General features: G+C 45.9%; 1 protein-coding gene and 1 long non-coding RNA gene across 2 annotated transcripts in view, besides 3 other annotated features; one reads left to right on the forward strand and one right to left on the reverse strand.

Annotated features, from left to right (window-relative positions):
- ELOA (elongin A) overlaps positions 1-3137 on the forward strand; it is an 18589-nt gene extending 15452 nt beyond the window's left edge. Inside the window, exon 11 of the mRNA NM_003198.3 lies at positions 590-3137. Coding sequence (NP_003189.3) covers positions 590-651 — 62 coding nt within the window. The 3' untranslated portion in view covers positions 652-3137. The remainder of the gene's footprint in view (positions 1-589) is intronic.
- ELOA-AS1 (ELOA antisense RNA 1) lies at positions 1460-19375 on the reverse strand. The gene is made up of 4 exons (NR_038280.1): positions 19277-19375; positions 13346-13504; positions 13189-13244; positions 1460-2229 (listed from the first exon to the last, which is right to left on the reverse strand). It is a non-coding gene; the product is annotated as an ELOA antisense RNA 1 (long non-coding RNA).
- Positions 6877-7171: a silencer, noted in NCBI's record as "tiled region #2978; HepG2 Repressive DNase matched - State 8:EnhW". NCBI's record gives its function as "represses a minimal TATA promoter and a strong SV40 promoter by Sharpr-MPRA in HepG2 cells {active_cell/tissue: HepG2}" and the evidence as "EXISTENCE:reporter gene assay evidence [ECO:0000049][PMID:27701403]".
- Positions 13917-14211: a silencer, noted in NCBI's record as "tiled region #12147; HepG2 Repressive non-DNase unmatched - State 23:Low". NCBI's record gives its function as "represses a minimal TATA promoter and a strong SV40 promoter by Sharpr-MPRA in HepG2 cells {active_cell/tissue: HepG2}" and the evidence as "EXISTENCE:reporter gene assay evidence [ECO:0000049][PMID:27701403]".
- Positions 18220-19172: an enhancer, noted in NCBI's record as "H3K27ac-H3K4me1 hESC enhancer chr1:24103632-24104584 (GRCh37/hg19 assembly coordinates)". NCBI's record gives its function as "activates a minimal SCP1, AML or CMV promoter by ChIP-STARR-seq in primed H9 embryonic stem cells {active_cell/tissue: H9 hESC(primed)}" and the evidence as "EXISTENCE:reporter gene assay evidence [ECO:0000049][PMID:30033119]".

Below are 19378 nucleotides of genomic sequence, written 5' to 3' on the forward strand. Positions count from 1 at the left end.
CGGGGCACAGTGGTTCACACACACCTGTAATCCCAGCACTTTGGGAGGCTGGGGTAGGAGGGTGCTTGAGCCCAGGAGATCGAGACCAGCCTGAGCAACATAGTGAGACCCTGACTCTACAGAAAATAAAAAAAAATTAGCCAGGCATGGTGGCACACTCCTGTAGTCTCAGCTACTCTGGAGTCTAGGAGGTAGAGGCTACAGTGTGCTGTGATTGTGCCAATGCACCCTAGCCAGGGTGACAGAGTGAGACTCTTTCCTTACAAAAATAAAAACAAGAAAGTCTGACAGAGATTGAATTGTAATTCTGTACCTTACTGTACAACCATGGGCAAGTTGGCCAGGCTCTCTGAGCCTTGGTGCAGGTGGTTAGAGAGAGTGGTGGTCATGCCCCTGGCAGGTCCTCCGAAAGTGTCTGCTCTGTGCTGTTGCTTTTATTGCATTGTGAACAGAGGAGATAGTTACTACTTGTATCTCTGCCTGGTGGTGCACAGCCAAGAATAGCAGAGCTGGCTTTGACTGTAAACTACTGGGGGTGTGTCTAAGCCGCCACAGATCTGAGACAGCTGCCTTGTTTCTCTTTTCACAGAAATTGCCCCAATGATGGCCAAGACAATTAAAGCTTTCAAGAACAGATTCTCCCGACGATAAACTGAGGACTTGCCTTGGAAATGGAATCTGGGGAGGCAGGAATACAAGGACAGTGGGGGTTGGGGAATGGAATTCTACAGGAGACTGGAGTCTTGCTTTGTGGATCCTTTTGGTCTCCGAGTCCTGCAGTCTGCAGGTGCTGCCCCTGGGAACCTGCGTGCCACAGCCCCGCCTCCCTGCCTGGAGCACACTTTAGAATTCTGAAGATGTGAAGCCTCTGTCTCACTGAGGATTTTAAAGGTCAATTATACTTTTGTTGTTCATTAGCATCTTTGTAAACTATAAGACGTAGTTTTAATTAATAAATATTGCCCCCAGATTGTATTTATATTATCCCCCAGGTTTGTTTTTGTTTTTTGTCCTCTACCACACATTTAGCCTTTTATCTTCCAGGTCCTTATTAAAATCAGATGAAAGCCTAGTGAAAGCCAGTCTCCTGCCCCAGCTCAGCTCTGTGTGGACTCTGGTCCAGACAGAGGACTGGGCATCTCCAGAGCCTGCACAGTACCTGCTGCACGTAGGGCAAGGAATGAGCACTAGACCGCCTGTCCCCAAGGGAGCCTCAGTGGGGCGACAGGGTGCTCGGCGGACTCCACCTCAGGCCCTCCCCACTGTTGCTGTGCATTCCTGTGCAGGTGCATCTCTTTCTTACTAACTGGTATTTATTAAGGGAGGTGCTCTGTAGGTCTGGAGCCTTTCCCTCATCCTTTTTGCGAGTCCCCACCTTTTTGTTTTTTTTTTTTTCTTTGAGGCTCACTAGAGGACGCAGAACCTTGGGAGATTGATTTGCACAGAACTCCCCACCTCCCACTTTTACAATTTCCAGTTTCTGATTGAAAATTTTAGGGTTTCTCCCCACTGCCCTTCCCTATCTTTCCTTCCCCTCAACACCATGAAGGAAAAACACACACGGCAGGGCTTTTTGTAGCCCTGAAGGCAACTTTAGACATTTAAAATCCAGCACTTTAATCTCTTGTTCTCTGTGAATCACTATGAGAAGTGAATGGTTTTAAAGGCTGTAATGCTATGTTGGAAATTGGTTTGTTTTGCCTTTTATTGAAAAGGTAAGATCATGTGATTGGAAGAACACAACTGTTGGCTTGGGAAGAGGACTTTGCTGCTGAAGTGTTTTCTACCTTCTGAGTGTGTTTAAGGCAGGATTTGGAGGGAAGGACCAGCTTAGGGAGAGTGTCTGAGCCACAGCGTCAGGATGGGGGAAACCACATGGGATCCATCAAGTTCCAGTTGAACAGGAGCAAGATCAGAACTTAGGAGGGCAGTGTCAGCTCCCTTGTTGGCTGTCAAGGAACACCGATCTAGTAGAAACCCACTTGGTTGTGACCCAGGTAGAGGTAGATGCCATACATTTGAGATATGCGTCCTTAAGGAACCTGACAAGCAGACTGAAGGGATGGTAAGTGTGACAGCCTGATAAGTTTTCTCAAAGCCCAGGATACAGAGCCAGTGTTTTCTGTAACTGGAGACCTCAGTTAGGCCAACTTCGAATTCCAGAGCAACGTAGGAAGTCTATTCAGCAGAAACTCGACATTGTTCAGTGTGTATTGCTGTGCAGGGTGCCTATTGTGACAGGACACAAATGTTACTATGTTTTAATTTGCTATATTTTTGAATGGGTAAAGCATTACTTTACTTCTCTTGGTTACTTGTACCACCATTCCACCCCTATCCCTAGCCTGCCCCACAAATCTAATATTAGGAAGCCTCTTAACTGAAACCAAATGAACATTTGGGTCAGGTGCCAGATGTCTGCTGCCTAGAATAGCTTTTTCTAGGTGTCTACCACCTTGAATTTATCTCTTAACTGTGTGTTCAAGTCTTTGTCATTGAAACTAGTTTTTCATATCTTAGATTCAGTTGTGTATGATTTAATGTCCCTTATTAGGAGTCTTTAGGCAGGGAGGGAAGAAAAAACAGATTTGTTCATAGCAATGTCAGTATCCATTTTGGCACATAAAGATTTTTGATGAGCCCTGTTTGCATAGAGCCAGATGTTTTCCCCTCCCCCAAGAGTATCTACATCAGGGATGTGACTTGGTGCGAAGAGTCAGGGGAAAGAGGAAAAACCCAATTTCTAAATGACCTCCTTGCCCAGCTTACTAAAATGGCTGCAGAGCAGACACAGGATGAATTTGAACCTGACACAGGATGAATTTGAACCTTTGGTCTCATTTATGGAAAAACTTGTGCAATTTTTTTTCTGTGCTACACTACATACAAATCACCAAATTACAAATTACCCTTTTGTGATCCTTGGTGTACTGAGCAGTTTCTTTGGGGCTTTTTCTTTCTGGGAAGCGGGAGGGAAAGGAGCAAGGTGTCATCCTGCTCTTCATTTGTATTTTGGTCCCAAAATGTAAATACAATTTTCTATGTTACTTTTTTGTGGTAACTACCGAGATGAATATTTTAATTAGATAAGTTATATGAAAAGGAAAATTCCATGTCTAAATAAAAAACAAACTCCATATACTGTGTCTTCCTTACTTATAGCATCAGTGGAAAGAAGTTAGAAAATGCCTGATTCTTGGACTGTTTAAGGCAGAGTTTTTTTTTTTGTTTTTTTTTTTGAGATGGAGGAGGCAATCTCAGCTCACCGCACCCTCCTAAGGCAGAGATCTTAATCAGCATCCTTGGGCTGGGCCTTAAACGATGCCGAATTTAGTAGTAAGAGGAATTTCAGACGGAAAGAATTCTGTGAGCAAAGGGCGGGAACTCAGCATTTGTGGGGAACAGGCACTGTCCCTTATTATACTTGGAACCCTGGTAACCCCATCTTAAAATTAGAAACTGGTTCAAAGGGGTGAAATGGGGCCGGGCATGGTGGTTCATATCTGTAATCCCAACACTGAAGGGCGGAGGCAGGATTGCTTGAGCCCAAGAGTTCAAGACCAGCCTGAGCAACATATTGAGACCCTGTCTCTAGAAAAAGATTAAAAATTAGCCAGGTGTGATGGTGCACCTATAGTCCCAGCTATGTGAAAGGCTGAGGTGGGAGGATCACTTGAGCTTGGGAGGTCGAGGCTACAGTGAGCTGTGATTATGCTACTGCACTCCAGTCTAGGTGACAGAGCAAGACCAGCCTGGGCAACATGGCAAAACCCCATCTCTTTTTTTGTCTCAAAAAAAAAACAGGGGTAGGGGGTTAGGAGGGACTGTGGCTCATGCCTGTAATCCCAACACTTTGGGAGGCCAAGGAGGGTGGATTGCTGGAGTTCAAGAGTTTGAGACCAGCCTTGGCAACATGGCAAAACTCTATCTCTACAAAAGATACAAAACTAGCTGGGTGTGGTGGCACACACCTTTGGTCCCAGCCACTCGGGAGGTAGAGGTGGGAGGATGGCTTGAGCCCAGGAGGTTGAGGCTGCAATAAGCCATGATTGCCACTGCAGTCCAGCATGGGCGACAGAGCAAGACCCTGTCTCCAAAAAAATAAAAAACAAACGGGGAGGGGGGGGAAAGGAGTGAAATTAACATGGCCAAGTTGCGTAGCTAATAAAGTGGCAAAAGGAAGGATTTGACACCGTGATTCTCTAACTGCAAGGTTTGTGCCACTCTGCCTTTCAGTTTCCACGGGCTGTGAGGGACCAGTAGGTCTCAGCTTACACGGGCGTTCTAATGAGTACAGAAGGAACATGAATGCAGGAAAGTCGTGCCAGCAAAGACTTAATGAGAACCTGCTGTGGTGGCTCTGGCTGACCTGCAGGAGCTTTAGCACTTGCTAATGGAGCCATGGATTTGGCTTCAACCCTGCATACAGCAAGTGGATTGGACCTTCCATCAAACATACAAATCTGTCCTTTATCGATTAATTAAACATTTGCTGAGCCAGGACCTGTATTAGACCTTAGGATATGGAGTAATAGACTCTGACACTTAACAGTTAGGGAGGAGTAACTGACTTTATTGATTATGCACCTACTAGGTGCCACCATTCCTTCTTCTGTACACTGCCTCTGTTATCACAATGATCCTGTGAGGTAAACAGTCATGGCCCCATTTTAAAAATGACAACTTAATCCTGGTAAATCCAGGGGATTAAAAAATAAAAATGAGAACTTAAGTCACCATAGTGTCTGTAGAAATAAATTTTAAAAAATTGTTTTAATGAAAATGAGAAAAACCGAAGCACAGAGAGATGAAGAACTTGCCTAAGTTCACAGAATCAGTGAGCAGTGGTGCTATGTATTGGCCTGACTCCAAAACACATGCTCTCAGTCACATTTACCATCTCATACACTGACATGCATACCCAATTTGGCCTCTGAAGCAAAGCTGACCTCCAAAACAAAAGATGCCTGAGCCAAGGCCAGAGTCGTTTCTGTTTTTTTTTTTTAAATTCTTTTTTTGTGATGGAGTCTCGCTCTGTTGCCCAGGCTGGTGTGCAGTTGCACGATCTCGGCTCACTGCAGCCTCAGCCTCGCGAGTAGCTGGGATTACAGACATGTGCCACCACGCCCAGCTAATTTTTATATTTTTAGTAGAGACAGGGTTTCACCACGTTGGCCAGGCTGGTCTGCAACTCCCAACCTCAAGCCATCTGCCCGCTTTGGCCTCCCAAAGTGCTGGGATTACAGGTGTGAGCCACCGTGCCCAGCCTAAAAATTCTTTATCCTCAAGTTCAACAGTCATTTCTAAGAATGATATCTTTTGTCTGCTTCATGTAACTGATGCCCAGCAGAATCCTACCTGGCTTATCAACTTGACAGATGCCCCCATCACAGGGTTTCTCATCCACTTTCATCTCTTCCTGGTTATTTGCTAAATGGTGAAACAGTTTGTCTTCAGAGGCCCCTGAACTTCTTTCTCTCACTCTTTTTGAGACAGTCTCACTCTGTCACCCAGGCTGGAGTGCAGCGGTGGGATCTTGGCTCACTGCAGCGTCAACCTCCCAGGCTCAAGTATTCCTCCCACCTCAGCCTCCCAAGTAGCTGTGACTACAGATGTGCACCACCACTCCCAGATAATTTTTTGGTATTTTTTTGGGAGATGGAGTTTTGCCGTGTTGCCCAGGCTGGTCTTGAACTCTTGAGCTTAATCACTCTACCTTGGCCTCCAAAGTGCAGGGATTACAGGCATGAGGCACCTCGCCCGGCCCCCTGAACTTCTCTATGATGTCTATTGTCTCAACTCTTTTCAAAGACTAAGGAAAGTTCCAGCCATCAAAATTTTATATCACTGTATCTGTTTCTCAAGCACAGAGTCTTGGGTTGGGGCCTCAGAATATGCATTTAAAAAGATGCAACTCAAGTGTTATGGACTAAATGTTTGTGTCCCCCCAAAATGCCTATGCTGAAATCCTAAGACCCAGTGTGACAGTATTAGATAGGCCTTTGGAGGTAATTAGGTCACGTGGGTAGAGGCTTCATGAATAGGATTCTCCCTCATAAGAGAAATGAGAGTTGCTCTTGCTCCTTGTTCTCCACCATGTGAGGAAATGAGAGGACGGCAGTCTGCAAACCAAGAAGAGGGCCCTCACCAGACACAGAATTGGCCAGCGCCTTGATCTTGGACTTCCAGCCTCTGGAACTGTGAGAAGTAAATGTTTGTTGCCTAAGCCAGTCAGTCTATGGTAAGTTGTTACAGTAGCCTGAAATGACTGAGACACTAAGCGATTTTTTTTTTTTTTTTTTTTTTTTTTTTTTTTTTTTTTTTTTTTTTGAGGTGAAGTCTCACTCTGTCACCCAGGCTGGAATGCAGTAGCTTGATCACTCTCGGCTCACTGCAACCTCTGCCTCCCGGGTTCATGTGATTCTCCTGCTTCAGCCTCCCTAGTAGCTGGGACTACAGGCGTGCACCACCAACTTTTGTATTTTTAGTAGAGATGGGTTTCACCATGTTGGCTAGGCTGGTCTTGAACTCCTGACCTCAGGTGAGATCAGGTGAGATCCACCTGCCTCGACCTCCCAAAGTGCTGGGATTACAGGCATGAGCCATTGTGCCTGGCCTGACACTAAGCATTTTTTTTTTGGGGGGATGGAGTCTTGCTCTGTTCCCCAGACTGGAGTGCAGTGGCGTGATCTCAGCTCACTGCAACCTCCGCCTCCCAGGCTCAAGCGATTCTCCTGCCTCAGTCTCCCAAGTAGCTGGGATTATAGGCATGCATCACTACAACCCGGCTAATTTTTGTATTTTTAGTAGAGACGGGGTTTCACCATGTTGGCCAGGCTAGTCTTGAACTCCTGACCTCAAATGATCCACCCGCCTCTGCCTCCCAAAGTGCTGGGATTACAGTCATGAGCCACCACGCCCGGCCGACACTAAGCAATTCTTAAAATGTACACTGAAGTTTGAGAACTGCTCCAGAGAATTTGCCACAGTGGAATAGCTCTTCACAGCAGGTCCCTAGGTCAGGACTAGGAAGCTTGTTGATTTAGTAGTAAGCAAATACTTGCATTGCTTCCCACTCTGTGTCACTGACTAAGTCAGACATGGCAGGCTGGGGACAGTGGCTCACAGCTGTAATCCCAGCACTTTGGGGGGCCAAGGTGAGAGATTACTTGAGTCCAGGAGGTTGAAACTAGCCTGGGCAACATAGTGAGATCTTGTCTCTAAAAAAATAAAATATTAGGCCAGGCGCGGTGGCTCATGCCTGTAATCCCAGCACTTTGGGAGGCTGAGGCGGGCAGATCACCTGAGGTCAGGAGATCAAGACCAGCCTGACCAACATGGAGAAACCCCATCTCTACTAAAAATACAAAATTAGCCGGGTGTGGTGGCACATGCCTATAATCCCAGCTACTCGGGAGGCTGAAGCAGGAGAATACCTTGAACCTGGGAGGTGGAGGTTGAAGTGAGCCAAGATCATGCCATTCAAAATAAAATAAAAATAAAACAAAATAAAATAAAATATTAGTTGGGCATGGTGGCATGAACCTGTAGTTCTAGCTACTCAGGAGGCTGAGGTGGGAGGATTGCTTGAACTCGGGGAGGTTGAGGCTGCAGTGAGCCAAGATCATCCCACTGCGCACCAGCCCGGGTGAAAGAGCAAGACCCTGTCTCAAAAAAGAAAAAAGAAAAAAAAAAAAAAGGCCAGGCATGGTGGCTCATGCCTGTAATCCCAGCACTTTGGGAGGTCAAGGCAGATGAATCACCTGAGGCCAGGAGTTCGAGACCAGCCTGACCCACATGGAGAAACTCCGTCTTTACTAAAAATACAAAATTAGCTGGGCGTGGTGGTGCATGCCTGTAATCCCAGCTACTTGGGAGGCTGAGGCAGGAGAATCGCTTGAACCCAGGAGGTGGAGGTTGCGGTGAGCCGAAATTGTGCCACTGCACTCCAGTCTGGACAAGAGCAAAACTCCGTCTCAAAAAAAAAAAAAAAAAAAAAAGAGACATGGCCCTTGCCCTCATGAAGCTTTCATCTAGTAGGGAGACAGTTATCAAATAACTGCACAAATAATTCTTTTTTTTTTTTTTTTTTTTGAGACAAAGTCTTGCTCTATTGGCAGGCTGGAGTGCAGTGGCGCGATCTTGGCTCACTGCAACCTCCGCTTCCCGGATTCAAGCAATTCTCCTGCCTCAGGCTCCCGAGAAGCTGGGACTACGAGTGTGCGCCACCATGCCCAGCTAATTTCTGTATTTTTGGTAGACACGGGGTTTTACCATGTTGGCCAGGATGGTCTCGATCTCTTGACCTCGTGATCTGCCCGCCTCGGCCTCCCAAAGTGCTGGGATTACAGGCGTGAGCCACCGCGCCTGGCTTTTTTTTTTTTTTTTTTTTTTTTTTTTGAGACGGAGTCTCACTCTGTCACCAGGGCTGGAGTGCAGTGGCGCGATCTCCGCTCACTGCAAGCTCCACCTCCCGGTTCACGCCATTCTCCTGCCTCAGCCTCCCGAGTAGTTGGGACTACAGGCTCTCGCCACCACGCTCGGCTAATTTTTTGTATTTTTAGTAGAGACGGAGTTTCACCGTGTTAGCCAGGATGGTCTTGATCTCCTGACCTCGTGATCCACCCACCTCGGCCTCCAAGAGTGCTGGGATTACAGGCGTGAGCCACGGCGCCCGGCCACAAATAATTCTTTAAAGTACAGGTTTCTGGGCCCTACTGAAGAAATATGGTTGAATAGGTCAAAGGTAGGATCTGGAAACAGGTACGCTTTTGTAGGCTTCCCCCAATGAACTCGATGAGCGGCCTGGTTTGGGAATGTCTAGTGTAGTGGAAAAAGCATGCATGACCTTTGGGATGAGACCCAGGTTCAAATCCTGCCTCCACCACTCCCACACCTCTCTGAGCCTCAGTTTCCTCATTGGTAAAATGGGAATTATGACACTCTGCAGGAATTCTTATAAGGATTCAATGACAGAAGGGGAGCCACATTTTAGTGTCCCTCCTTCTTTCCCTCTAAATGTGGAATGAAAGAAAAAGGTTTTGTTTTTTACTGATGGGAATTCAAACTTCAGGGTCACAAGCTAAGAACTATTTTGAGGTCAACAAGTCCTTCCTGATAAATGAAATCTTAGTGCCTGCTTCCTCAGAGTTAGTTTGACTTTTCTGTTTTGGGGCCCCATTCTAATTTTTTCGGGTCCCTTAAACTGCAGCTTCTAACAACCACTAAAAAGGAAGACCACCTAATTTCTTACGGCCACAAACTCAAATACCAGGGGTTTGGTATGTGACAGCAGGCTGTGATGGGAACAGAAAGAAAATGGAGCTATTCACACAGCTCCACTTTATTGCTTCCGGGTTGAAGACAGGGCCCAGTGTTGCCACCTCTTCTGGATTTAAAGAAAATGGCCGGCCAGGTGCGGTGGCTCATGCCTGTAATCCCAGAACTTTGGAGGTGAGGCAGGTGGATCACTTGAGGTCAGGAGTTTGTGACCAGCCTGCCAACATGGTGAAACTCCGTCTCTACCAAAATATACAAAAATTAGCCAGGTGTGGTGGCGTATGCCTGCAGTCCCAGCTACTTGGGAGGCTGAGGTGGGAAAATCTCTTGAACCTGGGAAGCAAAGTTTGCACTGAGTGACAAAGCTCCAGCCTGGGTGACAAAGTGAGACCCTGTCTCAAAAAAAAAAAAAAAAAAAAAAAGGAAAAAGGAATAGGCTCAGCAGTAGTTCTCAACTAGAGGTGACTTTGTTCCCAGTATGACACTTGGCAACATCTGGAGACATTTTGGTTGTCGCTGTTGTTGGGGAGCTATGGGCATCTAGTGGGCAGAGGCCACGGATGCTGCTATCCATGCTACAATGCACAAGACAGCGCCCCTCCCCCAACAAAGAATTATCTGGCCGAAAATGTAAATAGAGCCAAGGTTGAGAAGCCTTGGACATGGTTCTGTTGCAGCAACAACCCTCAAATCTCAGTGGCTTGCAACAACAGAGGTCTCACCGCCTGTCCATTGTGAGTCTGACAGGGATCTGCTTTATGTCATCCTCACTCAGGGGCCCAGGCTAAGGGAGGTGCCATTCCCATGCTTGTAAGATCTTCGAGGCAAGTAGAGAATATTAATATATTATTAACATTAATTATAATAATAAAAAATAATATTAATTACAATATTGATATAACTGTTAAGTTTTGTCTAGAAGTGACATCTATCATTGCCATCATATTGCATTGGCTGCACCTTAATTCATGGGGTCAAGGAAGCACAATCCATCCATGTTCCTGGATGCAGAGAATTGGGAATATTTGCTAACAGCATTAAAGATTCCAAAGGTTGGGTGCACCAAAACCTCAGAGATCACCACTAAAGAACTTATTCATGTAACCAAACACCACCTGTTCCCCCAAAACTTATTGGAAAAAACTAAAAATCCAGAGAAAAATGTATGCTGACCAAAAAAAACAAAAAAACCTCCAAAGGTAATCATGACAGCCTGGGCTCTAGGTAATCCACAAGGCTCAGAGAAGGGCAGCTAAGGGCACAGGCTGTGGAGTCAGACGTCAGACTTGGCTTCAAACCCCACACTTTCTAGCCATGTGGACTTGAGCATGTCACTTAATCTCTCAGTTTCTTTCTCTAAAAATGAGGAAAATAGGCTGGGCGTGGTGGCTCACACCTGTAATCCCAGCACTTTGGGAGGCCCAGGCAGGCGGATCACGAGGTCAGGAGCTCGAGACCAGCCTGGCCAATATGGTGAAACCCGGTATCTACTAAAAATACAAAAATTAGGCCAGACGTGGTGGCCCACGCTTGTAATCCCAGCACTTTGGGAGGTCAAGGAAGGCGGGTCACGAGGTCAGGAGTTCGAGACCAGCCTGACCATCATGGTGAAACCCTGTCTTTATTAAAAATACAAAAATTAGCCAGGTGTGGTGGTGTGAGCCTGTAATTCCAGTTACTCAGGAGGAAGAGGCAGGAGAATTGCTTGAACCTGGAAGGTGGAAGTCGCAGTGAGCCGAGATTACGCCACTGCACTCCAGCCTAGGTGACAGAGTGAGACTCCATCTCACAAAAAAAAAAAAAAAAAAAAAAGTCTGGGTGCTGTGGCTCACGCCTGTAATCCCAGCACTTTGGGAGGCCAAGGTGGGCGGATCACGAGGTCAGGAGATCAAGACCATCTCTACTAACCCTGTCTCTAATAAAAATACAAAAAATTAGCTGGGCGTGGTGGTGGGCACCTGTGGTCCCAGCTACTCGGGAGGCTGAGGCAGGAGAATGGCGTGAACCCGGGAGATGGAGCTTGCAGTGAGCCGAGATCATGCCACTGCACTCTAGCCTGGGCGACAGAGTGAGACTCTGTCTCAAAAAAAAAAAATTAATTAATTAAAATAATAATAATAATAATTAGCTGGGTATGGTGGTGTGCGCCTGTAGTCCCAGGTACTCAGGAGGCTGAAGCAGAAGAATCACTTGAACCCAGGAGGTGGAGGTTGCAGTGAGCTGAGATTGTGCCACTGCACTCAGCCTGGGTGACAGAGCGAGGCTCCATCTCAAAAAAAAAAAAAAAAAAAAAAACAAGGGAAAATAAATCAACCTTGCAGTGTTAAAATGCTTAGAACAGTGCCTGGCACACAGAAACAGCTCAGGACATGTTAGCCAGGATGATGATGATGATGGATTAGGCCAGGCGCCAATCACGGAGTGGGCATTTAGTAAACAGTTGTTGTTATAACCTAAGCTCTGAGGAAAATGACTTGTCCAAGGTAACACAGCTGGTAAGTGCAGCATGGTGGAGAAGAGCCTAAGCTCTGGGGTCTCAGCCTGGCACATCGTAAATCATAAATATTAAATAATATTTGGAGGAGGTTCAGTGTGGTTAAGAACATGGACTCAGGCCAGGCACGGTGGCTCACACCTGTAATCCTAGCACTTTGGGAGCCTGAGGCGGGCAGATCACGAGGTCAGGAGATCGAGACCATCCTGGCTGACACGGCGAAACCCCGTCTCTACTAAAAATAGAAAAAATTAGCCCGGCGTGGTGGCGGGTGCCTGTAGTCCCAGCTACTCTGGAGGCTGACGCAGGAGAATGGCGTGAACCCGGGAGGCGGAGCTTGCAGTGAGCTGAGATCGCGCCACTGCACTCCAGCCTGGGGGACAGAGCGAGACTCTGCCTCAAAAAAAAAAAAAAAAGAACATAGACTCGGTAGCTCACACCTATAATCCCAGCATTTTGGGAGGCTAACAGGGGCGCATCCTTTGATCCCAGGAGTTTGAGACCAGCCTCGGCAACATGGCAAAACTCCGTCTCTACAAAATATACAAAAATTAGCCAGGCATGGTGATGTGTGCCTGTAGTCCCAGCTACTCAAGAGGCTGAGGCAGGAGGATCACTTAAGCCTGGGGGTGTCAAGGCTGCAGTGAGCTGAGATCACGACACTGCACTCCAGTCTGCGTGGCAGAGCAAGACCTTGTCTCAAAAAATAAATAAATAAAAATAACATGAACTCCCGAGGCTGACTGCCGGGTTCAAATCCTAGCTCTACTACTGACCACCTGTATGAACTTGAGCAAGTAACTCAGCCTCTCTGTGCCCAGTTTTCTCATCTATAAAATGAAGCTAATAATAAAACACCTGCAATTAGGAAAATTAAAAAATAACATTAGTAAAGCCCTCGGGACCCATATGGTTGTTAGCTGCTACAGTATTACTATGCCCTCAGTTCGCCACAAAGAAGCATTCAAAAGTAACAGAAAATAATTAACAGTATCATTTCACCCACCCAATTGAGATAGGAGAGAAGAAAATGGATACAAATTCAGCAATCCTTGAGCTAAGAAAATGTTTACAGCCAGGGGTGGTCGCTCAGGCCTCTAGTCCCAGCAGTTAGGGAGGCTGAGGCCAGCAGATCACTTGAGTCCAGGATTTCGAGACCAGCCTAGGCAATGTGATGAAACTCCATCTCTACAAAAAATACAAAAATTACCTGGGCATGGTGGCATGCACCTGTAGTCCCAGCTACTCAGGAGGCTGAAGTGGGAGGACTGGTTGAGCCCAGGAGGCAGAAGTTGCAGTGAGCCAAGACTGTGCCACTGCACTCCAGCCTGGGTGGCAGAGTGAGACCCTATCTCCAAAAAAAAAAAAAAGTTTATAAATGGAGCAATGGGAAAAAACTTGGATGCTTTTCTTACCTGCCCCAGGGTAGTCCTAGAAATCAGTGAGAATTCCCATTTGTCCTCAGAGATTCCTGCAACATAGGAGTGCAAGAGAGGAGACAGTAAGCAGAGGCACAAGGCATTACTCCCAAATCACAGCTAAGCCACCCTGCAACCCTGGCCGGCTCCTTACAAACCCAGCTCCCTTAGCAACTGCAGTTTCCCATCCAACCAGACGAGGGCGCCGAGCTGACAGTCTTGCTGCTGGCAATAGTGATAGCCGCTGTGAAAGCACAGTAGATGCTCGTCCACTTGTCGAGGAGAATGCTGAATTCTTACCACTTTTGCACCACTGTAAAGTCACAAAGTCATAAGTCGAACCACCATAAACTGGGGATTATCCGCAGTCCCCCCTTATCTGTGGGCGATATGTTCCAAGACCCTCAGGGGATGACTGAAATAGTACTGAACGCTATATATACAGTACTATGCTTTTTTCTATACATACATACCTATGATTACATTTAATTTATAAATTAGGCACGATGAGATTAAACAACTAATAATAAAATGGAACAATTATAGCAATATGATGTAATACAGTTATCAGGCACTGTGCTCATAACTTTTGCAGTTTCATGTGTGGCAGCAAAACTAGCAGGTATTTCTTTTTCCTTCTTCATAATTTCACAGATAGAAGATTCGTTCTTACTACAGATCTTAGCGACCTCAGCACACTTTATTTTTTCTTTCCTTATTATAACTTTTACCTTTTCATTTAAAGAAAGAACTTTATGGCTTCTCTTTGCCATATCCAAATTGCTAGCATGACTACTCTTGCACTTTGGGGCCATTATTAAGTCAAATAAGGGTGACTTGAACACAAGCATTGCAATATCACGGCAGTCGATCCGATAACGAACAGGGCACTTACTTAGTAAGTGACTAACGAACAGGGAGTGTATACAGCGTGGAGGCACTAGACAAAGGGACGATTCAGGTTCCCCAGGTGGACAGAGCGGGACAGCACAAGACTTCATCACGCTACTCAGGACAGCATGCAATTTAAAATTTACAGATGGTTTATTTCTGAAAATTTCCATTTAATATTTTTGGACAGTGGTTGACTGCATGTAACTGAAACCACAGAAAGCAAAACCGAGTCAGGGGCAGGGGAGGGGGGCGGCTACAGTAATAGCCTTTCCCTGTGGACCAGATGTTATACCAAACACTTTCATGTGTTATTTCACATTACTGTCATAGCACTCCACAACATAGGTACTGTTATGATTCCCATTTTATGTAAGACAAATCTGAGGCCTAGAAAAATAAATAAATAAAAAGAAAAAAGAAAAAAATCTGAGACCTAGAGAGGTTAAGCAATTTGCCTAGCAGGCCAAACCTAATATTTGCAGGACAGGAGCAAGAATACAGCTGAATGCATACTTAAAAAGTTATAAATGACCCTAATGAACTATTAAATAAAAGACAATCTATTCTGCTATGTCAATAAATAAACCTTCACAATGACCTGGAAGACCACATTCACATTTTTGGGCCTCTCAGAGTTCTGTACTAGAAGGTGGTGAGAGGCAGAGAACAGGACCCTAGCCCTGCCCCATTCTCTCCATATCTCTAAATCTGTGTGCCTGGAAGGGCCTTGTGTCCACGCATGCAGAGGTCCTAACCTGTGTGCTCACACTTTGTTCTAGGGGTTCTAAATTGAAAAGGTCCCTCAGGTATCCAGCACAATGAATGACAAAAGAGACCAAAGCACAACAAAAATCATCACATTCTAGAATACCAAGAGAAGATCTTAAAAGCTTCCAGAAAACGGGGTGGGGTGGGGGGAAAACCCATAAAAAGAATCAGGATTCAGAACAGCATTGTATTTATCAAAGCCAGAAGAAAACCAGAGCAATTTCTTCACAATTATGAAAGAATTCTATCCACAGCCAAACTACTAATTAAGTACAGTAGAATAAAGCCATTTTCAGTGCCACTTAACATGTATGGCAGCATGGTAGCCAGCCACTAAGGTGGCCTCTAATGATTTCTACCTCCTGGTATCTGCACTCTTATGAAGTTCCCGCACACACTGAATATGGCTGACCTGTGAAACCATGGGATGTTGCAAAATTGACAATATGGGACTTCTGTGGCTAGGTCATAAAAGACATTGGTGGTTTCTACCTTGCCCTTAGATCACTTGTTCTGCTGAAAACCAGCTGCTGTATCATGAGGACACTCAAACAGTACTATTGAGAGGTCCATGTGTTAAGGAACTGGGGCCTCCTGCCAAGAGCCTGCACAAACTTGCCAGCCGGGGCTTCTCCAGCCCTGGCCAAGCCTTCATATGATTTCAGGCTCATGAGAGACCCCAAGCCAGAACCACCCAGCTAGGACGCTCTCAAATTCCTAACTCACAGAAACTGTGAGATGATAAATGTTAATTGTTGTTTTGAGGAGAGAGGCCATTTCTCTTACTGTCTCTGAAGAGAAGGAAGAAGTAAAAGCTGAAAAACAACAGGAATGAAGTCAGTGGCAAGACCAACTGATGCCACTTACCAGGCCTGAGGTTAAAGATTAACGCCCCCACCCTAACCACATGTGTTACCTATAGATCACTTGCTCAATCTATCACAACCCTTTCACGTGGACCCCCTTAGAGTTATAAGCCCTTAAAAGGGCCAGGAACTTTTTCTTTGGAGAGCTTGGTTCTTGAGACACAACTCTGCCAACGCTCCTGGCCGAATAAAGTCTCTTCCTTCTTTAACCTGGTGTCTGACAGGTTTTATCTGCAGCTTGTCCTGCTACAGTTTTAAGCCATTAAGTTTGGGAATAATTTGTTACACAACAAAAGACAACTAATACAGACCTACTGGGAGGGGAGGAGCCACAGTATTTTGCAGTTCTTCCAATCAGGAGGTGAAGTCTACAGTCTAGCTCTCCACTCTAGAATTTGGATTTGGCTGATGGGTCATTATAGAAAGATTATAGATGTAAGGCTTAAAAAGTGCTTGTGCTGGCAGGGCGCAGTGGCTCATGCCTGTAATCCTAGCACTTTGGGAGGCCGAGGTGGGCAGATCACCTGAGGTCAGAAGTTTGAGACCAGCCTGCCCAACATGGTGAAACCCCATCTCTACTAAAAATACAAAAATTAGCCAGGCGTGGTGGCAGGCGCCTGTAATCCCAGCTACTCGGAAGGCTGAGGCAGGAGAATCGCTTGAACCCGGGAGGGGGAGGTTGCAGTGAGCGGAGATTGTGCCACTGCACTCCAGCTTAGGTGACAGAGCAAGACTCCATCTCAAAAAAAAAAAAAAAAAAAAAAGTGCTTGTGCAATTGAGTCTTGCCCTCTCTTGCTCCTGGGAACTCTGCAATTATCACCATGTAATTTAGCTAGGCTTGTCTGCTGGAGACACGTGGTCCCATCATCCCAGCTAACAGCCAGCATCAAGCAGACGAGAGTGAGACCATCCCAAACTTTCCAGCCCAAGCTGAACTGGCCCAGAAAAGCTAATCCACAGGATCATGCGAATTAATCAATGTTTGTTGTTTAAAGCTATCAAAGTTTTAGGGTAATCTGTTACACAGCATAAGCTAATTGATACAGCATATTTACTTTGTGTGCACCTCCCGCCTCAACCTCCCCACCCTAACCAGGAAACTACTGATGTGTTACAAGAACACTACAGGATGTGTTCAAAGCCTGGTTACCTCCTAACTTTACCTAGTCTCAGACAAGTTAGTTTGCCTCTTTCAGCCTCAGTTTTCCTCATCTTCAAATTGGAGATAACAGTAGGTAATAGCACCTAGCTCTCTTTTTTTTTTTTTTGAGATGGAGTCTCGCTCTGTCGCTCAGGCTGGAGTGCAGTGGCACAATCTCGGCTCACTGCAACCTCTGCCTCCTGGGTTCAAGCGATTCTCCTGCCTCAGCCTCCCGAGTAGCTGGGATTACAGGCACACGCTACGATGCCTGGCTAATTTTTCTATTTTTAGTAGAGACGGGGTTTCACCATGCTGGCCAGGCTGGTCTCAAACTCCTGACCTCAAGTGATCTACCCGCCTCGGCCTCCCAAAGTGTTACAGGTGTGAGCCACCACACCTGGCTGTACCTAGCTCTTAAAGTTCATGTGACAATTAATTGAGATGAACTACATAATGTGCTTAGCACACAGTGCTCAAATAAATCATTAATGAAGGCAACAGGAAAAAGCCAAAATGAGTAGATCTCCGGGGTAAGGCCTGAGTTGGTTCTTCAAAAGGACACTCTTACCAAAGAAAGGCTACCAAGTATATCAGTCAAGTAAACATTTACTGTTTGCCACATTCCAGGTCCCTTACCTGAAACTGTGACCTAAAAGCAGGAATAATTCACGGCACTGAGCTATTTTGAAACAGAACCAAGCTTGCTTATTGCACAAGTAACTAAAATAGGACATCAAAATATTTTTCTTGTTTTTATTTTTTTGAGACAGTCTTGCTCTGACACCCAGGTTGGAGTGCAGTGGTATGATTACAGCTCACTACAGCCTCACCCTCCCAGGCTCAGGAGATCCTTCCACTTCAGCCTCCCAAATAGCTGGGACCACAGGCATGAGCCACCATGCTGGGCTAATATTTTTAATTATTTTTGTAAAGATGGGGTCTCCCTATGTTGCCCAGGCTAGTCTCAAACTCCTGGGCTCAAGTGATCCTCCCACCTTGGCCTCCCAAAAGTGCTGAGATTACAGGCATGAGGCACTGCATGTGGCCCAGAAAATATTTCTGAATGGAACTTGAAAAAATGGATATTTTGGTCTATACTTCACCAGCCCCACTGAGCACTCCAGAGCCAGATGTGAAGGGAAGAGGGTAGCCAGGGTATCCCATAACTCTCTTTCTGTATCCTGTCTTTTCCCCACCAGGGAGTAGGAAAACATTCTATCCTGAAAACAAGATTATTTCACCTCTAAACAGTGACTTTTAATTATTTTGATCTCAACCCACAATATGAAAAACACATCATATTGTGTCTGAATACAAACTCAAAACTGAAACAAAAGTTTCATCAATTGAGACTTGAAATGTGTGATACATTCTGGGTTTTTTTTTTTTTGTATTCTATTTTTTTTTTAAATGTTGATCACAATTCTCTATAAACGGATTTTAAAACCTATTGACAGGCCACAACCAGCTGTTCGAAAAAAAGTACTTTGAAATATCACATGGGGGAGGAAACGCAGAGATCATCTAGTCCAATCCCTTCACTTCACAGGGGGTAAACTGAGTCTCAGAAGATCAAGTCACTTGCCCAAGGCCACGCAGCTAGTAAGTTGCTGTGGTTGGATTTGACCGTAATAACCATCGGCTACTGAATGCCCATCATGTGTCAGCCATTTGCTGAGTTTTTTCTTTTTTTTTCTTTTTGAGACAGAGTCTTGCTCTGTCGCCAGGCTGGAGTGCAGTGGCGCGATGTCGGCTCACTGCAACCTCTGCCTCCCGGGTTCAAGCGATTCTCCTGCTTCAGCCTCCCGAGTAGCTGGGACTACAGGCTCGCGCCACCACGCCTAGCTAATTTTTGTATTTTTAGTAGAGACGGGGTTTCATCATGTTGGCTAGGATGGTCTCGATCTTTTGACCTCGTGATCCGCCCGCCTCGGCCTCCCAAAGTGCTGGGATTACAGGCGTGAGCCACCGCGCCCGGCCTGCTGAGTTCTTTAATTGCATTATTTCATTTAATACTCACTGTGATCCTATGAAACAGATACTATTCTTTCCACCTTACAGACGGGGAAACGGAGTCTCAGAATAGGGGAAATGACTTAAGGTGTCACAATGGCCAGTAGCAGACCCAGGAGTAGTCTTTAGGTCTGGCCGTGCACAAAGCCCCATGCTCTCAAGCTGTAACCCCGCTATCAAGAAAGTGGTTATGCAAGTGGGCCTGTGAGCTCTCAACGTCTAAGCCGTGCGCATGTGAGACAGCGATAAGCTCGCGTTCTCCAGTCTCCAGGGCCTTATCATTCCTCACGCTTTCCTTCATCGGCTCGCAAAGAAACGTGGCGATCAAGGAAGACAGCGAAGGCTCCATCCTCGTCGGGGGAGGATAATTCGAATCTCAGCCTGTGAGTTTACTCAGCACACCTGTTTAATCTCTTGGTCCTTCAGTTTCCACACCTAGGAAGCTGGAACAGCAGCAGCATCCAGCGCCAGGACTGGAGTCATATACGAACTCTGGCACCTGGG

The sequence above is a fragment of the Homo sapiens genome, chromosome 1 (genome assembly GCF_000001405.40).
Source record: "Homo sapiens chromosome 1, GRCh38.p14 Primary Assembly".
Classification (NCBI taxonomy): Eukaryota; Metazoa; Chordata; class Mammalia; order Primates; family Hominidae; genus Homo; species Homo sapiens.